The sequence below is a fragment of the Homo sapiens genome, chromosome 7 (assembly GCF_000001405.40).
Source record: "Homo sapiens chromosome 7, GRCh38.p14 Primary Assembly".
NCBI classification, from domain to species: Eukaryota; Metazoa; Chordata; class Mammalia; order Primates; family Hominidae; genus Homo; species Homo sapiens.
Genome location: NC_000007.14, coordinates 108208787 through 108225154, shown reverse-complemented (window position 1 = coordinate 108225154; position 16368 = coordinate 108208787). Strand labels below are relative to the sequence as shown.

The 16368-nt window shown below is 39.6% G+C and overlaps 1 protein-coding gene across 107 annotated transcripts in view, besides 5 other annotated features; it reads left to right on the top strand.

Annotated features, from left to right (window-relative positions):
* NRCAM (neuronal cell adhesion molecule) overlaps positions 1–16368 on the top strand; it is a 309072-nt gene that overhangs the window by 231566 nt on the left and 61138 nt on the right. For 106 of the 107 annotated variants that reach the window (NR_163870.1, NR_163867.1, NR_163869.1 and 103 more), the window contains 2 exons: positions 1319–1430; positions 15550–15734. Coding sequence is in view for 102 of the 107 variants with exons in the window: in NM_001371122.1 (NP_001358051.1) it covers positions 1319–1430; positions 15550–15734 (297 nt within the window). In the remaining 5 variants the exon portion in view is untranslated. The remainder of the gene's footprint in view (positions 1–1318; positions 1431–15549; positions 15735–16368) is intronic. The other variant, NM_001371137.1, reaches the window with a different exon arrangement.
* Positions 12855–14054: an enhancer, noted in NCBI's record as "P300/CBP strongly-dependent group 1 enhancer chr7:107851545-107852744 (GRCh37/hg19 assembly coordinates)". NCBI's record gives its function as "activates an origin of replication core promoter dependent on BRD2, BRD4, P300/CBP, MED14 and CDK7 cofactors, with strong dependence on P300/CBP, by STARR-seq in HCT116 cells {active_cell/tissue: HCT116}" and the evidence as "EXISTENCE:reporter gene assay evidence [ECO:0000049][PMID:35650434]".
* Positions 13020–13714: an enhancer, noted in NCBI's record as "H3K27ac-H3K4me1 hESC enhancer chr7:107851885-107852579 (GRCh37/hg19 assembly coordinates)". NCBI's record gives its function as "activates a minimal SCP1, AML or CMV promoter by ChIP-STARR-seq in primed H9 embryonic stem cells {active_cell/tissue: H9 hESC(primed)}" and the evidence as "EXISTENCE:reporter gene assay evidence [ECO:0000049][PMID:30033119]".
* Positions 13119–13328: an enhancer, noted in NCBI's record as "active region_26501". NCBI's record gives its function as "activates an Ori minimal core promoter by ATAC-STARR-seq in GM12878 lymphoblastoid cells {active_cell/tissue: GM12878}" and the evidence as "EXISTENCE:reporter gene assay evidence [ECO:0000049][PMID:35858748]".
* Positions 13449–13648: an enhancer, noted in NCBI's record as "active region_26500". NCBI's record gives its function as "activates an Ori minimal core promoter by ATAC-STARR-seq in GM12878 lymphoblastoid cells {active_cell/tissue: GM12878}" and the evidence as "EXISTENCE:reporter gene assay evidence [ECO:0000049][PMID:35858748]".
* Positions 14560–14717: a silencer, noted in NCBI's record as "fragment chr7:107850882-107851039 (GRCh37/hg19 assembly coordinates)". NCBI's record gives its function as "represses an EF-1alpha promoter that drives an FKBP-Casp9 reporter gene in an ReSE screen in phorbol 12-myristate 13-acetate-treated (for megakaryocytic differentiation) K562 erythroleukemia cells {active_cell/tissue: K562(+PMA)}" and the evidence as "EXISTENCE:reporter gene assay evidence [ECO:0000049][PMID:32094911]".

The window sequence follows — 16368 nt, the reverse complement described above, 5'->3', positions numbered from 1 at the left end:
TTGTTTAAAAGTAAGTCAAACCAAGTCACTGTCTTCAATGGAAGTAATCTTTTTAAAAGTAGAGCATTTACCTTCATTATTTTAGATAGAAATGAATTTGATTCCCTTAAGGGAAATGTTCTCAAGTAGAGTCTATGAATGAAAATAATGGGTTTTGGATAAAGGGTCCTCTTAATTATCCATAAGGTAGAATTTCTGCTGTATTAATTTTTCACCCTTGAGATATAAGTAAAAGACATTAAGGTCTCATCAGTGACCAAGATAGACACTCCACAACTGCTGCTTTCTGTTATTTTATTTGAATATACTCCTGAAAAATATGGGCCCCAAGACCATTCCCAAAGTGATTTTAGAGGAGTAAGTTTCCCCGCTACAATCTCTAAATTCTTAGGAAAACTAATTTTTCTCAAGTAATATATCTTCTGGCATTGAATTTTTTCTTCTGAGAAATGAGAATAATTCATAGTATATGACCTTTTCATTAAATTTTTATAAGCATCAAGTAGATAATGCATTAAAGAGTTGAAAACCTTCAAGGGCTATAAAACCTTAAGATGATGTAATTTCTGCTCCAAGTTTTTCTAAGAAACCTTCAGAAGATAAGGCTATGTTTTGGAAAGGCCTCCATAAAAAAGAAGATGGCCTGTGTAACTATCCCTAAGATCTTTGACTTGGATCCTCTTTATTTTTTTATTGAGGAAAATGATTTCCATTTATTTAACTCCACCATTATTCTTATTTTGTGGCATAATATTTGCAAGACCTCTGTCAGTAACTCTCTACTTTTGTTTTCCATAAACCTCACAGTTTGAGGATCTTAATATGATTAATCAGTGGTATTGGCTATAATGTTGTCCCCACTGTAAACCAGAATACCCCTTCTATAACCATATCTTTATAAAAATCTAACATCTTCCAGAAGATAGACAGTTAATTTTTGCTTCGACCTAAGCACTAATCCTAAGGGAAATGTAGTTTGATAACATGATTTTCCTCTCCATGTCAACATATTGAAAATTTTCTAACCCACAGAAAATTTGTAAAAACCTAACCCAAATTAAGGGAGTATACAAAAGGAAAACAGTCCTTATTATTAGTGCTTATGCCACCAAAATTGTTTCTGTTCCTGGGTAACTGAGTAAGTGATGACTACTTATAACGCAGAGAGTGTGTATGTGTATGTAGCTTAACAAATTTCACAATTAATGTTAAATAGCTTAAAAAGGGATTGGAATTTTAGACAGCTTTTTTGACAATGAAGTGTTTATAGAAATACATATTTATAAGTTGTAATGCATACTGATTTTCTTGTTTGCAGCTAAATCAAGTAGAGAGAGGCCACCAACATTTTTAACTCCAGAAGGCAATGCAAGTAACAAAGAGGAATTAAGAGGAAATGTGCTTTCACTGGAGTGCATTGCAGAAGGACTGTGAGTTAACACTTTCTGTCCTGAAGTACATTTCTTATAAAAATATAGTAGGTTGGTAGAGAGAGGTTAATAATATCATAGGAGGAGTCATTGTCTTCTACTAATTCTAGCAAGCATCAAGAAAAATTTGGTAATTATTTCCAAAGTAGGCATATGAATCTCATATTATTGTTATAATTTTTTTAATGTAATAGTAATCTTATTGAAATAAGTATCAGTAATCACCTTATGATTGTTGAAATATTAGGTCTCATTGTTAAAATATTTTGTTAATATAGTAGTAGTATCTTAAAATAAGTATCAGTAATCACCTTGTGACTGCTATGATTATAATTAGAGTATATTATTTTGCTAGTTTGTAACCAGCCACCTCAAATTTAGTGGCTTAAAAATAATAGCTATTGATTACTGATCACTTGTCAAGAGGTCTACAGAGCAGTTGTCCTCTAACCAGCAAGGTTCGGCTAATTTCAGTTAAGCATGCTCATGTATCTGTTAGGTGGCTCAGCAGTGCTCTTGGGGTCTACTGGCTGTTAACTGGGGCATCTGAGTTGATGGCCATAAGTTGCTAACATCTCTCTTGCAGTCTTGTCCTGGCTTATTCTCCTAACAACAGACATCATGCACAGGGCCTGCCTCTTAAATCCTAGCCTCAGAACTAGCACACTGTCCCTTCACCTACTTCCTATTGGCAGGTCACAAGGCCAAGCCTAGATTCTTTGAAATAACTTAGTTGTGCACACTTCAAAATTGAAGCTACCCCAGAACTGACGCGCCTTTGACAGGAGTTGCAGGGAGGCCTTGCCCAAATACAAAAGCAACTGTGATGTTAGCTCTGTGTTACAAGGAATTTCTATATAGTCCCTGTCTTCTGCCTGACACAGAGCAAACACCATTGGTATGGGCGCATCTGCTGAAAACCTGGAATAGAATCTCAGAAACGTGCTGCCCTCACATGTGATCCCTGCTGTCCTTGACAGGCAACTCATTGGTTTCACATTCCTTCCTGAATCCAGGAAAACTTGACTTCAGGAGGCACGTGGAGGCCTCCGCTGGCCGAGGCAGGAAATCATACTATGCATTACTCAGCTCCTCAAGCTACGGAAAACTAGCAAAACCCCCTTTTAAAGATATGTTAAAACCCTATATCTTCTGCTAGAATTAAGAAAAAAAAATCCTCCCAGTTTCCATCGTTATGGTGTAAGAGAGTGGCATAGTCTGCCAGCCTCCAACCTTTGGGAGCAGAAGGTATCTATTCTCACAATTTAATGACTTCTTTTCCCACAAATGACATATTTCATAAAAAACTAAAATATGGTTGGTATTTGGAAATTTCACAATACTCCCAAAAGAATTTTTAAAACTTTGGAGTGTTGTAAGACCAAGATTGGGACTCTATCACTTACCAACCAGCCATCAGACTTATAGAATCAAAATATTTCCAATTCCTGACAATGGCTCAATACAGTAGCTGGCCTCCAAAACAATTCATGGCTTTTTCATAATTTCAAACTATGAAACTATGCTTTCATCTCCATCTCCTTCTTACCTTCATATCATCTGAGATGCAGATTAGTCTGACTATAAGGAAATATCAATATGTTATCAGATTCCACATGTATATAGATTTTCAAAATCTACTTATTTTTATACTTACAGCATGTTTTAATTCTAGAAGCTATTTCATCAGATACATATGCTCAGTTTATTTCTTACTTAACCAAACAAGCCAAACCAATATTATAATCAATTAATACCACTTGCATTTCTTTTTTTTTTTTTGCTTGAACCATAATTTATTATTTCTCATGGTTCCATGTGATGACTGGGCTAAGCTTTTTTAAATTATTTTTTATTTTCCATAGGTTATTGGGGTACAGGTGGTGTTTGGTTACATGAGTAAGTTATTTAGTGGAGTAAGTTATTTAGTGGTGATTTGTGAGATTTTGGTGCACCCATCACCCGAACAATATACGCTGTACTCTATTTGTAGTCTTTTGTCCCTCAACACTCCTCCACCCTTCCCCTGAAGTCCCCAAAGTCCATTGTGTTATTCTTATGCCTTTGTGTCCTCGTAGCTTAGCTCCCACATATCAGTGAGAACATACAGTGTTTGGTTTTCCATTCCTGAGTTACTTCACTTAGAATAATAGTCTCCATTCTCATCCAGGTCACCGCAAATGCCATTAATTCATTCCTTTTTATGGCTGAGTAGTATTCCATCACATATATATATACCACAGTTTCTTTATCCACTTGTTGATTGATGGGCATTTGGGTTGGTTCCCTGATTTTGCAGTTGCAAACTGTGATGCTATAAACATGCGTGTGCAAGTATCTTTTCTGTATAATGACTTCTTTTCCTCTGGGTAGATACCCAGTGGTGGGATTCCTGGATGAAATGGCAGTTCTACTTTTGGTACTTTAAGGAATCTCCACACTGTTTTCCATAGGGGCTGTACTAGTTTACATTCCCACCAGCACTGTAGAAGTGTTCCCTGATAACCGCATCCATGCCAACATCTACTGTTTTTTTGATTTTTTGGTTATGGCCATTCTTGCAGGAGTAAGGTGGTATTGCATTGCGGTTTTGATTTGCATTTCCCTGATCATTAGTGATGTTGAGCATTTTTTCATGTTTGTTGGCCATTTGTGTATCTTCTTTTGAAAACTGTCTATTCATGTCCTTAGCCCAGTTTTTGATGGGATTGTCTGTTTTTTTCTTGCTGATTTGTTTGAGTTTGTTGTAGATTCTGGATATTAGTCCTTTGTCAGATGTATAGATTGTGAAGATTTCCTCCCACTCTGTGGGTTGTCTGTTTACTCTGCTGACTGTTGTTTTTGCCATGCAAAAGCTCTTTAATTTAATTAAGTCCCAGGTATTTATCTTTGTTTTTATTGCATTTGCTTTCAGGTTCTTGGTCATGAATTCCTTGCCTAATCCAATATCTAGAAGGGGTTTTCCTATGATATTTTCTAGAATTTTTATAATTTCAGGTCTTAGATTTAAGTTCTTAATTCATCTTGAGTTGGTTTTTATATAAGGTGAGAGATGAACATCCAGTTTCATTCTCCTACATGTGGCTAGCCAATTATCCCAACACCAATTATTGAAAAGGGTGTCCTTTCCCCACTTTATGTTTTTGTTTGCTTTGTCGAAGATCAGTTGGCTGTAAGTATTTGGGTTTATCTCTGGGTTCTCTATTCTGTTCCACTGGTCTTTGTGCGTATTTTTATACCAGTATCAAGCTGTTTTGGTGACCATGGCCTTATAGTATAGTTTGAAATCAGGTAGTGTGAGGCCTCCAGATTTGTTCTTTTTGCTTAGTCTTGCTTTGGCTGTGTGGGGTCTTCTTTGGTTCCATATGAATTTTAGAATGTTTTTTTCTAATTCTGTAAAGAATAATGGTGGTATTTTGATGGGGATTGCATTGAATTTGTAGATTGCTTTTGGCAGTATGTCATTTTCACAATATTGATTCTACTCTTCCATGAGCATGGGATGTGTTTTCATTTGTGTCGTCTGTGATTTCTTTTTGTAGTGTTTTGTAGTTTTCCTTGTAGAGGTCTTTTGCCTCCTTGGTTAGGTATATTCCTAAGGATTTTTTTTTTTTTGGCAGCTATTATAAAGGGGGTTGAGTTCTTGATTTGACTCTCTACTTGGTTGCTGTTGGTGTATAGAAGAGCTACTGATTTGTGTACATTAATCTTGTATCTGGAAACTTTGCTGAATTCTTTTATGAGTTCTAGGGCCTTTCTGGAGAAGTCTTTAAGGTTTTCAAGGTAAATGATCATATCATCAGCAAACAGTGACAGTTTGACTTCCTCTTTACGAATTTGGATACCCTTTATTTCTTTCTCTTGTCTGATTGCTCTGGCTAGGACTTCCAGTACTATGTTGAAGAGGAGTGGTAAGAGTGGGCATTCTTGTCTTATTCCATTTCTCAGAGGGAATGCTTTCAACTTTTCCCCACTCAGTATTATGTTGGCTGTGGGTTTGACATAGATGGCTTTTATTACATTGAGGTATGTTCATTACATGCTGATTTTGCTGAAAGTTTTAATAATAAAGGGATGCTGGATTTTATCAGATACTTTTTCTGCATCTATTGAGATGATCGTGCGATTTTTGTTTTTAATTCTGTTTATGTGGTGTATCACATTTATTGACTTGTGTATGTTAAACCATCCCTGCATCCCTAGTATACAACCCACTTGATCATGGTGGATTATCTTTTTGATATGTTGCTGGATTCAGTTACCTAGTATTTTGTTAAGGATTTTAGCATCTATGTTCCTCAGGGATATCAGTCCATAGTTTCTTTTTTTGGTTATGTCCTTTCCTGGTTTTGGTATTAGGGTGATACTGGCTTCATAGAATGAATTGGGGAGGGTTCTCTCTTTCTGGTGGAATAGTGTCAAAAGGATTGGTACCAATTCTTCTTTGAATGTCTGGTAGAATTCTGCTGTGAATCCATGTGGTCATGGACTTTTTTTTGGTAATTTTTTAATTACTATTTTGATCTTGCTGCTTATTATTGGTCTGTTTAAGGTATCTAACTTTTCCTGATTTAAGCTAGGAGGGTTGTATTTTTCCAGGAATTTATCCATCTCTTTTAGGTTTTCTAGTTTATGTGTGTAAGGGTGTTCATAGCAGCCTTGAGTGAGCTTTTGTATTTTGGTGATGTCAGTTGTAATATCTCCCTTTTCATTTCTTGATGAGGTTATTTGGATTTTCTCTCTTCTTTTCTTGGTTAATCTTGCTAATGGTCTATCAATTGTATTTATCTTTTCGAAGAACCAGCTGTTTGTTTCATTTATCTTTTGTATTTTTTGTTGTTTGTTTCAATTTCATTTAGTTCTGCTGTGATCTTATCTCCTTTCTTCTGCTGGGTTTGGGTTTGGTTTGTTCTTGTTTCTCTAGTTCCTTGAGGTGTGACCTTAGAATGTCAGTTTGTGCCCTTTCAGTCTTTTCGATGTAGGCGTTTAGAGCTATGAACTTTCCTCTTAGCACCGCCTCTGCTGTATCCCAGAGGTTTTGATAGGTTGTGTCACTATTGTCGTTCAGTTCGAAGAATTTTTTAATTTCCATCTTGATTTCGTTTTCTACCCAATGATCATTCAGGAGCAGGTTATTTAATTTCCGTGTTTTTGCATGGCTTTGAAGGTTCCTTTTGGAGTTGATTTCCACTTTTATTCCACTGTGGTCTGAGAGAGTGCTTGATATAATTTCAATTTTCTTAAATTTATTGAGGCTCATTTTGTGGCCTATCATATGGTCCATCTTCAAGAAAGTTCCATGTGCTGTTGAATAGAATGTGTATTCTGGGTGGCTAGAAAGATGGCTGAATAGGAGCAGCTCCAATCTGCAGCTCCCAGCAAGATCGATGCAGAAGGTGGGTGATTTCTGCATTCCCAGCTGAGGTACCTGGTTCATCTCATTGGGACTGGTTAGACAGTGGAAGCAGCCCACAGAGGGCGAGCCGAAGCAGGGTGGGGGTGTCACCTCACTCAGGAAGTGCAAGGGGTCGGGGAACTCCCCCCCCCCCCCAGCCAAGGGAAGCCGTGAGGGACTGTGCCATGAGGAACAGGAGGAACAGTGCATTCCGGCCCAGATAGTATGCTTTGCCCATGGTCTTTGCAATCCACAGACCAGGAGATTCCCTGGGGTGCCTACACCACCAGGGCACTGGGTTTCAAGCAAAAAACTGGGCGACCATTTGGGCAGACACCGAGCTAGCTGCAGGAGTTTTTTTTCATACCCCAGTGGTGCCTGGAACGCCAGTGAGACAGAACCATTCACTCCCCTGGAAAGGGAGCTGAAGCCAGGGAGCCAAGTGATCTAGCTCAGCGGATCCCACCCCCATGAAGCCCAGCAAGCTAAGATCCACTGATTTGAAATTCTGGCTGCCAACACTGCAGTCTGAAGTCGACCTGGGATGCTCTAAGTTGGTGGGGTATGGGCATCTGCCATTACTGAGGCTTGGGTAGGTGGTTTTCCCTTCACAGTGTAAACAAACCCACCAGGAAGTTTGAACTGGGCAGAGCCTACCACAGCTCAGCAAAGCCTCTGTACCCAGACTGCCTCTCTAGATTCCTCCTCTCTGGGCAGGGCATCACTGAAAGAAAGGCAGCAGCCCCAGTCAAAGGCTTATAGATCAAAGTCCCATCTCTCTGGGACAGAGCACCTGGGGGAAGGGGCAGCTGTGGGCGCAGCTTCAGCAGATTTAAACATTCCTGCTGCTGGCTCTGAAAAGAGCAGCAGATCTCCCAGCACAGTGCTCGAGCTCTGCTAAGGGAGAGACTGCCTCCTCAAGTGGGTCCCTGACCCCCGTGCCTCCTGACTGGGAGACACCTCCCAGCAGGGGTCGACAGACACCTCATACAGGAGAGCTCCGGCTGACATCTGGCAGGTGCCCTTCTGGGATGAAGCATCCAGAGGAGGGAACAGGCAGCAACCTTTGCTGTTCTGCAGCCTTCGCTGGTGATACCCAAGCAAACAGTGTCTGGAGTGGACCTCCAGCAAACTCCAGCAGACCTGCAGCAGAGGGCCCTGACTGTTAGAACAAAAACTAACAAACAGAAAGAAATAGCATCAGCATCAACAAAAAGGGCGTCCACACAAAAAACCCATATGAAGGGGTCACCAACATCAAAGACCAAAGGTAGATAAATCCACAAAGATGAGGAAAAACCAGTACAAAAGGTCTGAAAGTTCCAAAAACGAGAATGCCTCTTCTCCTCCAAAGGATCACAACTACTCACCAGCAAGGGAACAAAACTGGACAGAAAATGAGTTTGACGAATTGACAGAAGTGGGCTTCAGAAGGTGGGTAATAGTAAACTCCTCTGAGCTAAAGGAGCTTATTCTAACCCAATGCAAGGAAGCTAAGAACCTTGAAAAAAGGTTAGAGGAATTGCTAATTAGAATAACCAGTTTAGAGAAGAACATAAATGACCGGATGGAGCTGAAAAACACAGCACGAGAACTTCGTGACGCATACACAAGTATTGATAGCTGAATCAAACAAGTGGAAGAAAGGATAACAGAGATAGAAGATCAACTTAATGAAATAAAGTGTGAAGACAAGATTAGAGAAAAAAGAATGAAAAAGAATGAATGAAGTCTCCAAGAAATATGGGACTATGTGAAAAGACCAAACCTACGTTTGATTGGTGTACCTGAAAGTGACAGGGAGAATGGAACCAAGTTGGAAAACACTTTTCAGGATATTATCCAGGAGAACTTCCCCAACCTAGCAAGAGAGGCCAACATTCAAATTCAGGAAATACAGAGAACACCACAAAGATACTCCTCAAGAAGAGCAACCCCAAGACAAATAATCATCAGATTCACCAAGGTTGCAATGAAGGAAAAAATGTTAAGGACAACCAGAGAGAAAGGTTGGGTTCTCCACAAAGGAAAGCCCATCAGACTAACAGCGGATCTTTTGGCAGAAACCCTACAAGCCAGAAGAAAGTGGGGGCCAATATTCAACATTCTTAAAGAAAAGAATTTTCAACCCAGAATTTCATATCCAGCCAAACTAAGCTTCGTAAGTAAAGGAGAAATAAAAATCCTTTACAGACAAGCAAATCCTGAGGGGTTTTGTCACCACCAGGCCTGCCTTACAAGATCTCCTGAAGGAAGCACTAAATATGGAAAGGAAAAACCAGAACCAGCCACTGCAAAAACATAACGAATTGTAAACACCATCGACACTATGAAGAAACTGCATCAACTAACGCGCAGAATAACCAGCTAGCATCATAATGACAGGATCAAATTCACACATAACAATATTAACCTTAAATGTAAAGGGCTAAATGCCCAAATTAAAAGACGCAGGCTGGCAAATTGGATAACGAATCAAGACCCATCAGTGTGCTGTATTCAGGAGACCAGCCTCATGTGCAAATACACACATAGGCTCAAAATAAAGGGATGGAGGAATATTTACCAAGCAAATGAAAAGCAAAAAAAAAAAAAAAAGGCAGGGGTTGCAGTTGTAGTCTGATAAAACAGACTTTAAACCAGCAAAGATCAAAAAAGACAAGGGTATTACATAATGGTAAAGGGATCAATGCAACAAGAAGAGCTAACTATCCCAAAAATATATGGAGCCAATACAGAAGCACCCAGATTCATAAAGCAAGTTCTTAGAGACATACAAAGACACTTAGACTCCCACACAAAAATAGTGGGAGATGGCCAGGCGCGGTGGCTCATGCTTGTAATCCCAGCACTTTGGGAGGCTGAGGCGGGTGGATCATGAGGTCAGGAGATCGAGACCATCCTGGCTAACATGGTGAAACCCCATCTGTACTAAAAAAAATACAAAAAATTAGCTAGGCATGGTGGCAGGCACCTGTAGTCCCAGCTACTTGGGAGGCTGAGGCAGGAGAATGGCGTGAACCCAGGATGCGGAGCTTGCAGTGAGCCGAGATCGCACCACTGCACTCCAGCCTGGGTGACAGAGCAAGACTCCATCTCAAAAAAAAAAAAAAAAAATAGTGGGACACTTTAACACCCTGCTGTCAATATTAGACAGATCAGTGAGACAGAAAATTAACAGGGATATTTAGGACTTGAACTCAGCTCTGGACCAAGCAGACCTGATAGACATCTACAGAACTCTCCACCCCAAATCAACAGAATATACATTCTTTCCAGCACCACATCACACTTATTCTAAAATTGACCACATAATTGGAAGTAAAACACTCCTCACCAAATGCAGAAGAACAGAAATCATAACAGTCTGTCAGACCACACTGCAATCAAATTAGAACTCAGGATTGAGAAACTCATTCAAAACCACACAACTACATGGAAACTGATCAACCTGCTCCTGAGTGACTACTGGGTAAATAACGAAATTAAGGCAGAAATAAATAAGTTCTTTGAAACCAATGAGAACAAAGACACAATGTACCAGGATCACAATGTACAGCTAAAGCAGTGTTTAGAGGGAAATTTATACACTAATGTCTACAGGACAAAGTGGGAAAGATCTAAATTTGATACCCTAACATCACAATTAAAAGAACTAGAGAAGCAACCGAAACAAATTCAAAAGCTAGCAGAAAACAAGAAATAACTAAGATCAGAGCAGAACTAAAGGCGATAGAGACATGAAAAACCCTTCAAAAAATCAATAAATCCAGGAGCTGGTTTTTTGAAAAGATTAACAAAATAGACCACTAGCCAGACTAATAAAGAAGAAAGAGAGAAGAGTCAAATAGACACAATAAAAAATGATAAAAGGGATATCACCACTGATCCCACAGAAATACAAACTACCACCATATAGAGTATAGAGAATACTATAAACACCTCTACGCAAATAAACTAGAAAATCTAGAAGAGATGGATAAATTCCTGGACACATTCACCCTCCCAAGACTAAACTAGGAAGAAGTCAAATCCCTGAATAGACCAATAAGAAGTTCTGAAATTGAGGCAGTAATTAATAGCCTACCAACCAAAAAAAGCCCAGGACCAGATGGATTTACAGCCAAATTCTACCAGAGGTACAAAAAGGAGCTGGTACCATTCCTTCTGAAGCTATTCCAAGCAACAGAAAAAGAGGGTATCCTCCCTAACTCATTTTGTGAGGCCAGCATCATCCTGATACCAAAACCTGGCAGAGACACAACGAAAGTAGAAAATTTCAGGCCAATATCCCTGATGAACATTGATGCAAAAATCCTCAATAAAATACTGGCAAACTGAATCCAGCAGCACATCAAAAAGCTTATCCACCACAATCAATTCGGCTTCATCCCTGGGATGCAAGGCTGGTTCAACATATGCAAATCAATAAACATAATCTATCACATAAAGAGAACCAGTGACAAAAACCACATGATCATCTTAATAGATGCAGAAAAGGCCTTCGACAAAATTCAACAGCCCTTCATGCTAAAAACTCTCAGGACTATTAGTAATTGTTTTATAAATTTAGGAGCTCCATTGTTAGGTGTATATATGTTTAGGATTGTGATATTTTCCTGTTCGACAAGGCCTTTTACCATTATATAATGTCCTTCTTTGTCTCTTTTAACTGCTGTTGCTTTAAAGTTTGTTTTGTCTGATACAAAAATAGCTACCCCTGCTTGCTTTTGGTGTCCATTTGCATGAAATAACTTTTTCCACTCCTTTATTTTAAGTTTATGTGAGTCCTTATGTGTTAGGTGAGTCTCCTGAAGGCAGCAGATAGTTGGTGGTGAGTTCTTATCCATTCTGCAGTTCTGTATCTTTTAAGTGGAGCACTCAGGCCATTTACATTCAATGTTAATATTGAGATGTGAGATACCCTTGCATTCATTGTGCTATTTGTTGCCTGTGTACCTTGGGTTTTTTATTTTTTGTTTTTGCTTTTTGAATTATATTTTTGTTTTATAGGTCCTGTGTGATTTATGCTTTAAAGAGGTTCTGTTTTGATGTGTTTCCAGGATTTGTTTTAAGATTTAGAACTCCTTTTAGCAGTTCTTGTAGTGGTGGTTTGGTAATGGCAAATTCTCTCAGCATTTGTTTGTCTGAAAAAGACTGTATCTTTCCTTCAAATATGATGCTTAGTTTCGCTGGATACAAAATTCTTGACTGATAATTGTTTTGTTTGTGGAGGCTGAAGATAGGGCCCCAATCCCTTCTAGCTTGTAGGATTTCTGCTGAGAACTCTGCTGTTAATCTGATAGGTGTTCCTTTATAGGTTACCTCATGCTTTTGTCTCACAGCTCTTTAGATTATTTCCGTCATCTTAACTTTGGATAACCTGATGACAATGTGCCTGGACATCTTTTTGAGATGAGTTTTCCAGGTGTTCTTTGTGCTTCCTGTATTTGAATGTCTAGGTCCCTAGCAAGGCCAGAAAAGTTTTCCTCGATTATTCCTCCAAATGTGTTTTCCAAACTTTTAGATTTCTCTTATTCCTCAGGAACACTGAGTATTCTTAGGTTTGGTCATTTAACATAATCCCAGACTTCTTGGAGGCTTTGTTCATATTTTCCTATTCTTTTCTCTTTGTATTTGTTGGATTGGGTTCATTGAAAGACTTTGTCTTCAAGCTCTTAATTTCTCTCTTCTACTTGTTCAGTTCTATTGCTGAGATTTTTCAGAGCATTTTGCATTTCTATAAGTGTGTCCAATGTTTCCTGAAGTTTTGATTGTTTTTTCTTTATAGTGTCTATTTCCTAGACTATTTCTCCCTTTGCTTCTTGTATTGTTTTTTGGATTTCCTTACATTGGGCTTTGCCTTTCTCTGGTGCCTCTCTGATAAGCTTAATAACTAACCTTCTGAATTCTTTTTCAGGTAAATCAGGGATTTCTTCTTGGTTTGGATCCATTGCTGGTGAGCTAGTGTGATTCTTTGGTGGGTGTTAAAAATCCTTGTTTAGTCATATTACCAGAGTTGGTTTTCTGGTTCCTTCTCATTTGGGTAGATTCTGTCAGAGGGAAGGTCTAGGGCTGAAGTCTGTTGTTCAGATTCTTTTGTCCCATGGGGTTTTCCCTTGATGTAGTACTCTCCCCGTTTTCCTATGGATGTGGCTTCCTATGAGCCAAGCTGCAGTGATTGTTATCTCTCTTCTGGGTCTAGCCACCTGGCAAGTCTACCCATCTCCAGGCTGCTATTGGAGTTTGTTTGCACAGAGTCCTGTGATGTGAACCATCGGCCTCTCCACCATAGATACCAGCACCTGTTCTGGTGGAGGTGGCAGGGGGTTGAAATGGACTCTGTGAGGGTTCTTAGGTTTGGTGGTTTAATGTTCTATTTTTGTGCTGGTTGGCCTCCTGCCAGGTGCTTTCCAGAGAGTATCAGTTCTGGTAGTATGGAGAGGAACTGGTGGTGAGTGGAGCACTAGAACTCCCAAGATTATATGCCCTTTGTCTTCAGCTACCAGAGTTGGTAGAGAAGGCCCCTCAGGTGGGGGTAGGGCTAGGTGTGTCTGAGCTCAGACTCTCTTTGGGTCTTGCTGTGGCTGCTGTGGGGGAGGGGGTGAGGTTCCCAGATCAATGGAGTTGTGTACCTAGGAGGATTAAGGCTGCCTCTGCTGAGTCATGCAAGTTGTCCCTCTGCTGAGTCATGCAGGTTGTTGGGGAAGCGAGGGAAATCCAGCAGTCACAGGCCTCACCCAGCTCCCACGCAAACCAAAAGGCCAGTCTCACTCCCACAGTGCCTACCCTAACAGCCCCAAGTCTGTTTCCAGGCAGTGGGTGAGCGGGGCTTGAGAACTTGCCCCAGACTATCCACCTCCCAGCGGCAAAAGAAAAGGGCTTAGTTCTTCCCCAGCCTATGGAGTCTGCATGCTGGATTCATGCCCTTTCCCGAGTTCTGGCCAGGAGGTTTCTCGTCTGGTTCAAATTGTTATAAAGTTCAGCTGGAGACTTCCTTCTCCCTGTGGCATTTTCCCCACACCTCTGGCTGCCCTCCTGAAGGATCTCTGTGGTGCCAGGCAGGAATGGCCTGCTTGGGGACCCAGCGAGCTCCCAAGGCCTTTCCTGCTGCTTCCTCTACCCCTGTATTTCACTCAGCTCTCTAAATTGACTCAGCTCCAGGTAAAGTCAGAAACTTCTCCCACAAACCAGTTTTTCACTTCTGCAGTTTGGGCACTCACAGTATTTGGGATATCTCCCGGGTCCTGCAGGAGCAGTCCAATTCCTTCAGAGAGTCTGTGAGTCCTTTCAGCAGGTTTGTTCTTGCAGTTATTCTGGAGCTAAAATTCACGATGCAAGCCTCCACATGCTGCTCTGTCCATCCGCATCAGAGCTGCAATGTAGTTCTGCCTCCCATCTGCCATGATGATCCCTTCTGGGCTGAGCTGTTCTTATTCAGAGTCACTTGCATTTCTATTGACAAATATTGTTATCTTCCTGAGGGCCTGGACCATATTTTCTTCATCATCTTCCCAACACACAGCTCAGTGCTTGGTGTATAGTTCAGTACTTAGGAAATTTTTGTGTTGAATGGATTTTTATTTTACCTTCATGAAAACTTTCTAAAGTCATTAGTTCAAGTCAAGCATTATTATCCCTATTAAGGCAACTAAGGAAACTAAGCCTCAAAAAGATCAGAAATCCAGGGACAGGGTTGGAATTCTAAAGATCTTCTAACTCCAAGCCTATATTCTGACTTTTCATCTGTCTCCATATTCCATGACAATAAAAAACACAGTTGGGACCAGGCGCGGTGGCTCACGCCTATAATCCCAGCACTTTGGGAGGCTGAGGCGGGTGGATCACAAGATCAGGAGATCGAGACCATACTGACTAAAACAATGAAACCCCATCTCTACTAAAAATACAAAAAATTAGCTAGGCATGGTGGCGGGCACCTGTAGTCCCAGCTACTCGGGAGGCTGAGGCAGGAGAATGGCGTGAACCTGGGAGGCGGAGCTTGCAGTGAGCTCAGATCGTGCCACTGCACTCCAGCCTGGGTGACAGAGCAAGACTCCATCTCAAAAAAAAAAACAAAACAAAACATTGGGTGACAAATGGTATGAGTAATACCTAAGTTTGATCTATTCTTAATTAGTGTAATAATATTTTTAAATGTCACTAATAATGAAACTAAGGAAAAAAAGCTCTTTCCCTTATTACTTAGTTAACATCATCAGATAGACTGCTGTAAAATAGGAAAATTATTCCATTTGATATGGAAATGTATACAAAGGTTTATGGTCATAGATATGTTTATGAGTTTTTCTCTGTACATGTTTAATCCCAGCTGATGAAAAATTATAATTCAGTATCATTAATATAATAGTAATTCTTTTGATTAACATAGTAGCTTCATGTAAAAATTTCCAAGAGTTCCTTATTAGTCACAACGTTGAAAAAAATAATTAGGCCCCATCAGTAAAGCAACTCATGCTGGCATTCATACTGTATCATTGACATCGAAGTTTATGGTGTGCCATCAATTAGTATAGTTCTGATTATGTGAAAACGTAAAACTGTGAGCATTATTTATAAAAGTGTGGTGCTAATTAAAATATCTATGTATTTCTTATGATTTTTTAATAAAGATTTGTTACAAAGTTGCATGAAAATTCATCCTCAAAAGTAGTCATAGGTGGATTCCTTTTTTGTAACATCATTATTTATTTATCCTATCAGGCCTACCCCAATTATTTACTGGGCAAAGGAAGATGGAATGCTACCCAAAAACAGGACAGTTTATAAGAACTTTGAGAAAACCTTGCAGATCATTCATGTTTCAGAAGCAGACTCTGGAAATTACCAATGTATAGCAAAAAACGCATTAGGAGCCATCCACCATACCATTTCTGTTAGAGTTAAAGGTATATTGTTTAAAATCCATTCTTCTTGCCTTCATGAGAGACCCTGAAACTTTAATTAAATGTGGTTTTCATTACATTTTTAGTAATGGTAAATGTAAAGTTATGTCAACATTCATGGTACCTTGACTCTCTTCTCATTGCTATTGGTAGTGCATCTAAATCAGGTTAAAAATTTACTTGTTCAAATCTTCCTCACAAAAGAATCCCAGTTAATGAATATAGGAATAATGAAGGAAATAGAAAAGTCAATATTAGAATCCCACAGTAATAACTAGAGCCGGCAAGATCAAACAATGAATGCTAAAATTAGTGGGTGAAACTTTAAGGAGAAACAGGATATTTGCATAGCTTCAAAGTGTTTCTATCCCGCAGAAATTAATTACTGGGGAAGTTTTAGCGTGTCCACAAATACTTTATTACTCCTTTCTTTAGAAGATGGAGCTTACTTTCCCTCTTCTTGAGTGTATGCTGGACACTAATGAACAGAGTATGGAATCCAGGGAAATAGTAACTTTGGAGTGGAGAAACCTGGCAGACACTGTCTTAACCAAGTGATGAATGTTAACGTCAATAATAATAAGTCATGTTTGATATCATATATTCCCCCATATGGTACAAGTAGAAGGGTTCATTA